The sequence below is a fragment of the Homo sapiens genome, chromosome 2 (assembly GCF_000001405.40).
Source record: "Homo sapiens chromosome 2, GRCh38.p14 Primary Assembly".
Lineage (NCBI taxonomy): Eukaryota > Metazoa > Chordata > Mammalia > Primates > Hominidae > Homo > Homo sapiens.
Window position 1 is genome coordinate 231,594,394 of NC_000002.12, and position 12,691 is coordinate 231,607,084.

At 53.3% G+C, this 12,691-nt stretch overlaps 1 long non-coding RNA gene across 1 annotated transcript, besides 3 other annotated features; it reads left to right on the plus strand.

Moving 5' to 3' along the window:
* The first annotated feature begins 32 nt into the window (after positions 1-32).
* LOC124906122 (uncharacterized) lies at positions 33-3,489 on the plus strand. Its single transcript, XR_007088120.1, has 3 exons — positions 33-107; positions 592-716; positions 2,450-3,489. It is a non-coding gene; the product is annotated as an uncharacterized LOC124906122 (long non-coding RNA).
* Positions 2,722-2,901: an enhancer, noted in NCBI's record as "active region_17293". NCBI's record gives its function as "activates an Ori minimal core promoter by ATAC-STARR-seq in GM12878 lymphoblastoid cells {active_cell/tissue: GM12878}" and the evidence as "EXISTENCE:reporter gene assay evidence [ECO:0000049][PMID:35858748]".
* Positions 10,041-10,340: a silencer, noted in NCBI's record as "silent region_12432". NCBI's record gives its function as "represses an Ori minimal core promoter by ATAC-STARR-seq in GM12878 lymphoblastoid cells {active_cell/tissue: GM12878}" and the evidence as "EXISTENCE:reporter gene assay evidence [ECO:0000049][PMID:35858748]".
* Positions 10,471-10,760: a silencer, noted in NCBI's record as "silent region_12433". NCBI's record gives its function as "represses an Ori minimal core promoter by ATAC-STARR-seq in GM12878 lymphoblastoid cells {active_cell/tissue: GM12878}" and the evidence as "EXISTENCE:reporter gene assay evidence [ECO:0000049][PMID:35858748]".

A 12,691-nucleotide genomic window follows, 5' to 3' on the forward strand; every position in this document is an offset into this window, starting at 1 on the left:
GGGGCTGGGGGCAAACGTGCAGAGAAGAACCTGGACAGAGCTGGAGGCAGTGTGGCGGGGGGTGTCTCAGACCTGCAAAAACCCATCCCTACTGAACCTCCACCCAGGTAAGCTCCTGAGGAGCCTTCCCAGGGGCCTAGGCTGGCCTGGCGGGCTCAAGCTGAGAGGCAGAAGAGGCAGTGCAGTTGACAGTACTGAGTCACACCATGTGGGTTCAAACCCCAGCGCCAGCACTTGCCCTGGGCGAATCACGTCACTCTCAGCCTACTCAGCTGTAGAAAGGAGAGAATAAATCCATACCATGACACTGTTATAAGACAGAAGGGAAGCGATGCAGGCCATAATGCATGGTGTCTGGCACTTGATAAGCCCACACATGGTGGCTGCCATTATCATTATCCTCCGGTGAGCTGGGGGTGCAGAGGGAGCAGGAGTCTAAGCAAACCGACTGTCCTGGTTTGCCTCAGACTAAGGGGGTTTCTGGGTTGTAGGACTTTCATATTTAAAACCGGAAAACCCCAGGCAAACTAGGATGAGTTGCTCACCTTAGACCCAGGTCTCTTTACGTGGTATTTACTCTTGTCTGTGAAGATATGCATCTGGGAAAGCATTAGCAAGGCCCGGCCTTGAGTGCAGCGACGGGGCAGCCATCTGCTTCGGAAGCTGTCAGCCCACCCTCTGGCTAGACCCTGTGGAGCACCCGGTGGTATGACCTGGTGAGTGATGCCCCTGCTGGATGTCCGCTCCAGCCCCACCCTTAGCCAAGTGCCCTCAGCAGCTCTCACCTGCATGCCTTCATGTGCGGCCCTGGCCACAGATGGTTCACTAGTCCTTCCTGGTTCCCAGCAGAGTCTCCAAATGGGAGCCCTGGGGCCGCAGCCAGCCAACTGATGGGTTGTTTGACCTACATAGTGCTTCTCAAATTGTAAACTAATCGCTAGCATTTAAAAAATAGATTTTACGGCCGGGCAGGGTGGCTCATATCTGTAATCCCAGCACTTTGGGAGGCCGAAGTGGGTGGATCACCCAAGCTCAGGAGTTCGAGACCAGCCTGGCCAACATGGTGAAACCTGGTCTCTACTAAAAATACAAAAAAATTAACTGGACTTAGCAGTGTACGCCTGTAATCCCAACTACTCAGGAGGCTGAGGCAGGAGAATTGCTTGAACCTGGGAGGCGGAGGTTGTAGTGAACCAAGATCACACCACTGCACTCCAGCCTGGGTGACAAGAGCAAGACTCCATCTCAAAAAAAAAAAAAAAGATTTTGCATTAAAATCTGGATTTCTGCTTCTCTGGGAAAATCTAGGGCCCTCGTTTCTTCAGGACCCCAGGCAGCAGAACTGCCTGCTTTAGGGTGTATGTGCTCACTGTCCACCACAGCCCACCTGGCCTGCATCAGTGACCCATGTCACCAGCCCCGCCCCACCATGCAGAAGGCTCACATGAGGAAGGGTGATACCAGGCCCCAAGGTGGATGCAAAGATGAGCCCGGTGTGCATACCTGCTTCCCTCCAGGAGCTGCCAATTTTTTTCTTTTTTTGGATGGAGTCTCACTCTGTCACCCAGGCTGGAGTGCAGTGGGACGCCATCTCGGCTCACTGCAACCTACATCTCCCAGGTTCAAGCAATTCTTCTGCCTCAGCCTCCTGAGTACTGGGATTACAGGTGCCCACTACTACACTCGGCTAATTTTTTGTATTTTTTAGTAGAGACGGGTTTCCCGTCTTGAACTCGTGACCTCAGGTGATCTGCCCGCCTCGGTCTCTCAAAGTGCTGGAATTACAGGCATGAGCCACCTTGCCCAGCCCAGGAGCTGCCACTTTCTGTAGGTACAACGGGAACTGTCCCCACGTCATGAAAGCAATTAATTCAGAGGTGTGAGATTGCGGACTTAGATCCCAGTAATCAGGGGATTCTCAGAGAAGCAATTAAGCCAGTCCCTAAAAGAGAGAAGGAGGATGCCTCCCAGACAGAGGCAATAAGAACAAAAGCCAAGGCAGGCATGGTGAGGGTGCTGGGGGGTGGCTATCGAGCAGCTGGGGCCCACTGCAGAGGGCGATCAAGCTGCCAGGGTGACCTCAAAATGTGCTCATTCATGCTTTTTTTTTTTTTTGAGACGGATTCTCACTCTGTCGCCCAGACTGGAGTGCAATGGCGCGATCTCTGCTCACTGCAACCCCCGCCTCCTGGGTTCAAGTGATTCTCCTGCCTCAGCCTCCCGAGTAGCTGGGATTACAGGCATGCACCACCATGCCTGGCTAATTTTTGTATTTTTAGGAGAGACAGGGTTTTGCCATGTTGGCCAGGCTGGTCTCAAACCCCAGACCTCAGGTGATCTGCCCGCCTCAGACTCCCAAAGAACTGGGATTACAGGCATGAACCACCGCACCCAGCCTCACTCATGCTTTCAATAAATTTTTTTTCTTTTCTTTTTTTTTTTTTTTTAGATGGAGTCTTGCTCTGTCGCCAGGCTGGAGTGCAGTGGCGCAATCTCGTCTCACTGCAACCTCCGCCTCCTGGGTTCAAGCGATTCACCTGTCTCAGCCTCCTGAGTAGCTGGGATTACAGGCACGTACCACCACGCCCAGCTAATTTTTGTATTTTTAGTACAGTTGGGGTTTCACCATGTTGGCCACACTGGTCTCGAACTCCTGACCTCAGGTAATCCGCCCTCCTCAGTCTCCCAAAATGCGGGGATTACAGGCGTGAGCTACCGCACCTGACCTCAACAAATACTTTTTAAACATCCACTATGTGCCCGGCACTGCTAGACACTGAGACCACAAGGGTGAACCAGCCATCACAAGGGTGAACCAGCCATCAGAAGGAACAGAAACCTAACTCAAACCAGATTAAGCAAAGAGATGAGTCAACCAGCACAACGGCCGGGTGTGGGCCAGGCCAGGCCAGGGCCAGGGCTCACCCTGGTCCTCAGGGCTCTGCCGTTCCGGCTCGGCTCCCCGGGGCTGGCCCCCTCCGTGCTCAGGCAGCTCAGTCACCTTCCGAGAAAAGAGAAGCTTGTTCCCACTGGCTCTGGCAAGAGAGTTGGGGGAGGACGCCGCCAGGCCTGGCTTGGTGCCTGTGCCCTCCCCTGAACCAATCACTGAGGCCACGGGAATGAAATCCCTCATCACCGGGCCTGGGGCCAGGGTCAGACCAGAATTGGGGCCTTCCTAGGGGAAGGGATGCTGGGCCCACCACCAGCAGAGTGGTAGCAAGTGTGTCCTTTGGGTCCAGCTGTCTTGAATCCTGACTCCCTCCCACAAACTGTGTCACCTTCATCTTCCCGTGCTGTTTTCTCATCTACAAAGTGATAATAGTACCTCTGCATAAGACTGTTGTGAGGATTAAATGAGTTAATGTGTCAAGTGCCTAGAACAGTGCGTGGCACGTAGTCGAGTGCTATGTGGGCCTGATGACTACTGCAGACGGGCCTGCGCAGCTGTGTGCCAGCGCATTCATGACTTCATTCCAAGGGGAGTAAACATGGGGGTGCAGCAGCTGCACATTGGCAATTACCTGAGCTGGGTCTTTGCTGTTGGAGAGAGAAGGGCAAAGGCCTGGCAGTGTGGTGATGGTGCCACCTTCGTGCAGGAGGGTGATGGGGGTGGGGGCTGCTCTATGAGGAGATGGTCCAGACCTATGGAACTCAGGCTGGCAGGGAGGGGTGGCAAAGCAAAGGGAAAGGAGACATTGCAGGTGACCAGCTGGATTGAGGGGCCAGGAAAACATGATTCCTGGGTGATTTGGGCCTGGGCAGTTAGGAGACTTGAGGTGTCCCTGACAGGTGGTGGGACATGAGGAAAGGGTTAGTGGAGGCTGGTGGGAAAGGACTGGATCATGTGTTTGTTTTTTTTGTTTGCTTTTGGTGTTTTTTTTTGTTTGTTTGTTTTGTTTTATTTTGTTTTTGTTTGTATAGTTTTTTCTCACTATGTTGCCCAGGCTGGTCTCAAACTCCTGGAGTCAAGCAATCCTCCTGCCTTGGCCTCCCAAAGTGCTGGGTTACAGGCGTGAGCCACTGTCCCAGGCATGTTTGCTTTTAGAAATATTGAGTTTCAGCCAGGTGCGGTGCTGTAATCCCAGCACTCTGGGAGGCCGAGGTGGGTGGATCACCTGAGGTCAGGAGTTTGAGACCAGCCTGGCCAACATGGTGAAACCCTGTCTCTACTAAAAATACAAAAAATTAGCTGGGTGTGGTGGTGGGAACCTGTAATCCCAGCCACTCAGGAGGCTGAGGCAGGAGAATCGCTTGAACCCAGGAGGCGGAAGTTGCAGTGAGCCAAGATCGCGCCACTGCACTCCAGCCTGGACAACAAGAGCGAAACTCCATCTCAAAAGAAAAAGAAAAGTGGCAAGCTAGCACACTTTCTCCCATCAAAGTGTTTATGAGGGGCTAGTATTAACACCTAGAAGTCACTGCTACTCAACAAGGACAGAGCTCATGCCTAGAACAGGGAAAAGTTATGAAGTCCCACTGGAACCACACAACTCTGCCTTGCATTGCATTCTGCAGGGACAAGTTCCCGGTCCCCCAGGGGGCTGTGACAGCCACGCCACATTGGTTGCTTTGTCTCCAGGGCCCCACCACTGGCCAACTCACTCTGTGCTGCCTTGAAACCCACTCAGTCCAGTGTCTGCTGGACGGACCCTCCCTGCTAGCTCTTCTTGATCCTTCCCTCCTTGCTGTGGGGTAAACAGTTGTGTTGGCAAACCCACCTGGCAACACATGGGGACCCCCAGGGATCCAAGTACTATATCATAACTGGGGAGGCAGTCAGAGCTGCATGCTCAGGGCCGGGGTGTCCAATACAGAAAGAAAGGGTACACTCCAGCTCAGGATGGATGGCTGAGGAAGACATTGTAGAGTGAGAAAGCAAAAGCCCAGAGACAGGAGCTTGGGGAAAGGTCCCATCCCACAGGCAAGAGAAGAAGAGGAAGCAGTTCCTAAAACAAAACACAGGAGCAGTCGGCAAGTGGGGGTGATCTGGCCCATTATGGGGACCTGGGCTTGAAGGCATAGGGGACCACCCCCAAAATATGCCACTTTGGCATAAGGATGATTTGAGCTGAAGGCAATTGAGAAAAAGCAGACAGGATGAGCTTTCTGCCCTTTCCCTTTCTGCCTGAAAAACAGGGTGTACATTTCCTTGTGAAGCCCCCTCACCTTGTCCATACCAGGAAGGGGAGAACGGCCTTATCACTGGAGAGAGAGATGGCACTGAGAAGCATCTACACAGACAAGCCTTACTAAATAGCCCTATCTACCATAGTGTCCCCCATATGTTTACCTTCCCACAGCTTACTACCCCTAAAACATTCAGAAGCCACTTTCCTTTGCCTTGTCACTTCTCCACAAATTTATCATCCTTTGTTAGTATGGTATAAAGCCACCAAGTCTGCTTTGTGGGGTTTCTCTTCTATGAAGCACCACCACCTCCCCCATGCCAGGTAACACTTTTAACATTAGGGAGTCACGCTGAACCTATTCTGGTTTAGGGGTCCACCCGATTTGAAAAACAAAAAAAACAAAACTTTTAACATGAAATAAAATGTGTATGTCTTTTATCTGTCTTTTTTTGTTTGTTTTTGTTTTTGTTGTTTTGAGAGAGAGTCTCACTCTGTTGTCCAGGCTGGAGTGCAATAGCACAATCTCAGCTCACTGCAACCTCCACCTTCCAGGTTCAAGCAAGTCTCCTGCCTCACCCTCCCAAGTAGCTGGGATTACAGGCATGTACCACTATATCTGGCTAATTTTTGTATTTTTAGTAGAGACGGAGTTTCACCACGTCCGGCAGGCTGGTCTTGAACTCCTGACCTCAAGTGATTGGCCTGCCTTGGCCTCCCAAAATGCTGGGATTCCAGGCGTGAGCCACCACCACACCCAGCCCTTTTCTCCTGTTAATCTGTCATTTGTCCAATTATTTTGCAGGCCCAGCTACTGAACCTAAGAGGGTAGGGAATACTTTTCCCTCCCCTGCAAAGGCCCCATGTGGTCCACTGCATGCAATGGATGAAAACTGAATAAGCGGGGAGCACTATTAACTGTTGAGGACAAGCAGTTAATAGAGACAGAAGGAGGGGATAAAGAATGAGCAATAGAATAAAAAGATGGCTGTGTGTAGGGTCTCTTCTGTGTTGAGAAGTGAGGTATGACAAAGCTATAAATTCAGCCCTACAAAGCCTTGCATTTCCTCACTCAACAAATCAGGGAGCCTGGTTCTCAGTGACTTCTTGTTTATATATGTTAGGGTTAATGTTTGAAAACAATCAGCATTTCTCTAGGATCAACAGCCATCTTTTTGGTGTGTTCTGCCAGGAGACATTGGCCAAGTAAGCTGAGGTCTGCACCAGCCAATAGGCATGGAGGCTGGACCAGGAGCCAGCAGGGCAGGCACAGTGTCCTAACGCCTGAGCACAGCAGGGGATGGGCTAAGGGGAGGGCACCAACAAGTCCTGGCAGACATCAGAAGGGACACCCAGCCTAGCCGGCCTCCACCCCAAGGTTGGACTGTCCTGACCCCCTCAAAGAAGGCCTTGCTCCTCCAGCCGCTGGGAGCACTGTTGTTGGATAGCCTTCAGCCTCAGCTCCTGCAGAGAGCATCTCACCCAAGGTGGTGAGGTCCCAGGTGGCCCAATCCCCACAATGGTCTGTGCAGGGGTCTGAGGTCTGACCATCCTGACCCAGCTTGGGATAACCGCAGCTCCAGAGCTCCCGCGGGGCTGGCTGGGGCTGTCGTTGAGCCTGCACTACAGGCTCGACCTCTCCCTCTCCAACTCTGTCTTCATTCTGCTCCTCTTCACAGGGCGTGATCCCAAATAAACATCCCGTGTACCAAACCCTGGCTCAGGGCCTGCGTTCTGGGGAACCCAAGATATCACCATAGGCTGCTAATTTCTCCCATCTGAGATGTGTTGTGGTGGGAGGGATTCAAAACATAGAAAAACATCAAAGATTTTTTTCTAATGTCTCTCTTTTTTTAAAGTTAAAAATTTAAGGCAACTTTGAGAATGGTAAAGAAACCAAATCTTTGTCAGTGTTTGTACTTGCTTTGTAAGGATAATTTTTTTTTTTTTAAATCTTGTCAACACACCTCTGCTGGCAGGAGTGTAGGAAAATATTTCTGTTTAGTCTGTGGGCCCGTGGCTAATTGGTTAAAATTCCTATGCCACTGTAGTCTAGGTTATAGGTTTGGCTGGGTGAGGTATAGCTTCTATCAGGGAAAAGAGTGTCTCCAAAACAAAGTTCACACATAGGACAGTCCCCCAAGGAGGATGTGATAAAGTGTAGAGGTAAACGAAGTACTTAAGTACGTATTTAACTATTTAAACGAAAGACCTCCCCAGGCTAAGAGGTAGCCCTATTTCCTAGACTGACTTGATCTTGAGCTTCCAGAGTCTCTAAGGACACAGACTGCGCCCTCTGCTGGAGGGAAGGCACCACCGGCCCATACTAGGGTGGCCCAAGGGCGCGGTGGCTCAACCTGTAATCTCAGCACTTTGAGGCCAAGGTGGGAAGATCACTTGAGCCCAGGAGTTCGAGACCAGACTGCACAACATAGCGAGACACCATCTCTACAAAATTTAAAAAAAAAAAAATAGCCAGGTGTGGCAGCACATGCCTGTAATCCCAGCTACTCAAGAGGCTGAGGGGGAGGATCACTTGAGCCCAAGAGGCTGAGGCTATAGTGAGCAATGAACACGTAACTGTACTCCAGCCTGGGTGACAGAGTGAGACCCTGTCTCAAAATAATAATAATAAAAATAACAATAAAATAAAAAATAATTTTTAAACATTTTTTAAAGAAAGCGGAAAAAAGGGCACAAGGACAGAGGGGCATAGACCCTCCAACTGGAGTGACTGCCAGAGCTGAACAGCACGGCAATATAACAGTGCTCCAAGACTCAGACCACAGAAGGCCCAGAGTCCTCCAGGAAGGACCCAGACACAGAGCAAAGGTCTTCATGGGTAGAGTCTGGCTGAGGGGTCTCAGGACAGGCAAGGCCCACTGACTCCGTGCCTAGAAGCAGGCTGGCCCACCCTGTGGAGTCCTGCACAAGTGGACACTGTGGCCCTTAGTGTCTCCAAACACAAAAAAGTGTTTCCTCATCTGCAAAGTGGTTCTTCCATTTGCCTCACAGAGATGCTGTGGTCAATAATGCTTTTTTTTTTTTTTTTTTTTTGAGACAGAGTCTCACTCTGTCGCCCAGGCTGGAATGCAATAGTGCCATCTCAGCTCACTGCAACCTCCACCTCCCAGGTTCAAGCAATTCTCCCACCTCAGCCTCCCGAGTAGCTGGGATTACAGGAACCGGCCATCATGCCCAGCTAATTTTTGTGTTTTTGTAGAGATGGAGTTTCACCATGTTGGCCAGGCTGGTCTTGAACTCCTGACCTCAGGTGATCCACCTGCCTCAGCCTCCCAAAGTGTTGGGATTACAGGCGTGAGCCACTGTTCCCGGCAATAATGCATATTTTTCAAAAACAGCATTTAACAGTGGGCATCTGACAAATGTCAGTTTTCCTTTACTGGGATTTTCCACATGATCTGTGTATTGGTGAGGAGCCTCTTAATTGAAAGTGACAGAAACCCAGCATGTAGTAGCTTAGGCACAAACCGGATTAACGGGCGAGGTAAGGAAGGGCTAAGAGGAACTGGCTATGAGGATGCTGAATAGGAACTCCCTGCTGCCAGTACTCTGTCCCCATCACTTGTCCTCCACCTCCCATGGAGGTTCTTTCTCTCCGCCAGGCTTCTGCTCCTTGCAGGGACCGTGGCTCCTGGAGACTCCAGGCCCACAGGCTGCTCCTTGATAAACCAGAGAGGAAAAGTCTCGGTTTCCCCTGTTGGATCTGATCAATCCTAGGGGGAAGGACCCTGGTTGGCCCAGCCTGGATCCTGTCAGAGCAGGCTGCTCCCAGAAAGGGGAAGGAGGGGCCCAAAGCAGCCTGTCCCTTGTGGCTCCCCTAAGTCCCCCACTGCAAGGGACACTGTCCTAACCCCCATCCCTCCTATATCTGAAGGTTCCCCAGCAGATAAAAGTTGCCTTTCCCACAAAAATAGGCCAGGACTCCAGATGGGGTCCGATGTTTGCCTAATGCCACACAGAGCCCACACCTAGGTTCTGGGACCCGGGGTATGCCTCCCACAACACACAAACTTGCCTGTGAATGCCCTGCACACAACCAGAACCTTCCTTTAAACACGTGCTTTGGAAAGAGCAAGGCACTCAGATCTTTCTGTACTCATCCCCCCAACCCCATGGATTCAAATATATTCCTTTGCATCTCTAAATTTTAAATGTCAAACAATGAGGAAATAGAATTCACCTAAAATTCTGCCTTGGCTACTCACCTCCTGTATTTTATTAGTACTTTTCAAAATACAGTCTTTGGGGAGGAAAAACACCTCCCACCAATGGGCTCACCACACTGAACTTGAACAAGGCACTCAGGGTCCCTCAGTAAGAGATGGTTAGGATTACCCCAGCAGCAGATGGGTAAGTCGAGGCACAGCAGGGCAGGGGCATGGTGGCCGATTGCCGGTGGCCCCTGCGCAGGTTCTGGGCCTTGCGTCCCAGTCTGGGTTCTGGCTTCAGCACTTTATATTCTGCTGCGGCGGGAACAGCCTAAGAACAGAAACTTGGAGGTGGTCAGTGCAGACCCTTCTGGCCCCAATGCCCTCTTCACCCAGGGGTGGCCTGGCCTGGCCTGACTGCCCCGACTGCCCCCAACCCCAGGCAGCGGTGGAGGAGAGGGATGTCACACAGCACAAACGCCGGCGGAGGGGCCACAGGAGTGGGGAGAGCAACCAGGGATGAAGCAGAGTGGGGTGCGCAGGCCTCGCGTCTCCTCCCCCAGGGCAGGTGGCCAAGCTCAGAGATTTCCTGGGTGATTAGGGGGAGGGGCGCGAAAACGCCCCTTGCTGCCACCTGCTCCTTGTTGCCAGAGCAGGAACCCAGGTTGGGGCTTGGGGAGCAAATGAGGCTGGGACAGAGCACGGGGCAGTCAGATGGGGTGAGGCGAACAAAGGCCTCTCTCTGCGAGAGAAATCCCGACTGGCTGCGGGGCGCACTCAGGCCACAATGGGGCTTTCTCCGGCCACAGGCGGCCCGGCCAGCCTGAGGGCAAGGCAGGGCGTCTGCGCTGCCGCGGGCCAGGCGGCACCGCTTCCGCGAGGGAAGAGCAGCTCCCGTGTCGGGGCCGGAGCTGGGGCCGAGGCTCCGAGGCGGGACCAAGGGCGCGGGTGGCCGACGGGGCCTGCAAGACCGGCCGAGCACCCCCAGCCCCAGCCCGGCCCGGCCCAGCAGGCCCGGCCCAGCAGGCCCGGCCCAGCAGGCCCGGCCCAGCAGGCCCGGCCCCGCCGTCTCCATGGCGACCGTGACCTCAACGCCTGGGCGGGGAGGGAGAGGCTGAGCCGGTTGCTGCGCGACGGCCCAGTGACGTCAGACAATTGAGTTTGGTTCCCAAGGCAACTGGCCGGGCAGCTGGGCCGGGAACTATTTGTGTCTGTCCCCAGAGGGGCTGCGGAGCCTCCAGGGTCTGGCGCAGCTGAGGAAATGCGCTCCTGGCCCGGGGCAGGCGGGGGCCGGGACACAGAGGCCCTTTCAGCCCCGGAAGGCTGCGGGCCCGGGCGGGGCGGGGCGGCACCCTCCAGGAGGACGCCCGGCCTTCTCCCCACTTCTGCCTGGGAGGCCCCTGGCCCGCCGGGCTTTGTCCTATTTATAAACGTGCTCCTGAGTAAACTCCCTGAAGAAAGGGGCCTCTGTGTGCGGCAGCCCGGCCCACAGCGCCGCCCTCAGCACACAGTAGGCGCTCAGCATGGCCTTCTCATGGGACTGAGGACAAGCACCGATCCTTGGGAGCTGCCAGGCGCCTCCAGCACCCAGAACCCCTGACATCGAGCGCCTGGACACCTGTTCCCGAAGCCCTGTGAGCTGATGGGCTACGTAACCTCTGGGCCGCAATGCTAGAATAAAATGCATGGACACTTGTTCCAAAACGATGGAGGGACGGTGTGGGAAACAGGCCCCAGCCCTGTCGACTGAGGGTGAATGCACGAGTGAAAGTGACAATACATGGGTAAACTGAGGCAGGCGGCATCAGCCGTAGAGGAGAGAGGATGAGGTTCCAACCTGGGGTGTAAGAGAAACAAGATGCTACAGGAGCAGAAGGGCCATCAGCTGTGCTAAGATAAAGCAGGGACCTAAATTTGGGCCTGAGAGCTGGTCCAGGCCTGCCAGTGGCAGTGGCTCAAGACGTGGGGCGCTGTGACTGGGTCTCAGACCCAGTGATGCCACCAACCCAGGCTTCTCCCAGGCTCCTCCCCCAGTAGCACTCTGTCACTACAGGGTGACATCCAGGCCCTTCACGATCTGTCTCCAGGGAGCCACCACCTCCCCCAGCCCAACAGGCCAAGCACTGACATCCAAACCAACTGACTACCCAGGAGCCTGGGCATGCTTTGTCCGTCTGGCCCAGGGAGGCATCTGCCCATCCCTGTGAATAGCAGCGTCTCTCCTCAACAGTCAGTGACTGCCTTCTGACAGCCTGACCAGGGGGTCTGAGTGCGAGAGGCATCTGGCATCTCTGAAAAAGCAGCTCCAGCCTGGCTTCCAGGGCAGGGACTCTCCACTGCCAGATCTGCAGACTCTCCACCACCAGGGCGCCTACTGCAGTTGGGAAAAGCCTCAGATCTATGTCCTCTCCTGTCTGGGTGGAGCAGGCACCATGATCCCTGTTTCATGCACAAGGACATTGATGCGCAGGGACTACAGGACTTGTCCAAGGATGCACCCGAGCCCACGTCCCACCTAGGTTCCCCAGTCTCTCCCAGACAATCCCTCAGAAAACAGTCCTGGGCCCAGGAACCAGAGCTGCTGAGCAGGCCCAGCTACGTAATTTGTGGAGCCCAGTGCAAATTGAAAATTTGAGACCCTTTGTTAAGAAATTATGAAGAGGCCAGGCACAATGGCTCACATCTGTAATCCCAGCACTTTGGGAGGCCGAGGCAGGCAGATCACTTGAGTCCTGGCGTTCAAGACCAGCCTGGCCAATGTGTCGAAACCCTGTCTCTACTAAAAATACAAAAATTAGCCGGGCATGGTGGCTGGTGCCTGTAATCCCAGCTACTTGGGAGGCTGAGGCAGGGAGAATTGCTTGAACCCAGGTGGCAGAAGTTGCAGTGAGTTGAGATTGTGCCACTGCACTCCAGCTTGGGCGACAGAAGGAGACTCTGTCAAAAAAAGAAAAGAAAAAAAAAATTATGAAGAGGCTGGGCATGGTGGCTTATGCCTGTAATCCCAGCACTTTGGGAGGCCGGGGTGGGTGGATCACCTGAGGTCAGGAGTTCGAGACTAGCCTGGCCAACATGGTGAAATCCAGTCTCTACTAAAAATACAAAAATTAGCCAAGCATGGTGGTGCATGCCTGTAATACCAGCTACTTGGAAGGCTGAGGCAGGAGAATCGCTTTAACCCTAGACGCAGAGGTTGCAGTGAGCCAACATCATGCTACTGCACTCCAGCCTGGGCGACAGAGTGAGACTCTGTCTCAAAAAAAAAAAAAAAATTATGAAGGATTTCAAGACAATGTCAGAAGACCATCAAACTAAGGATGGGACCCATGTGACTGCACAGGTCATATGCTCATGAAGCTGGCCAGGATGGCAAGTCCAGGACACCAAGCCAGG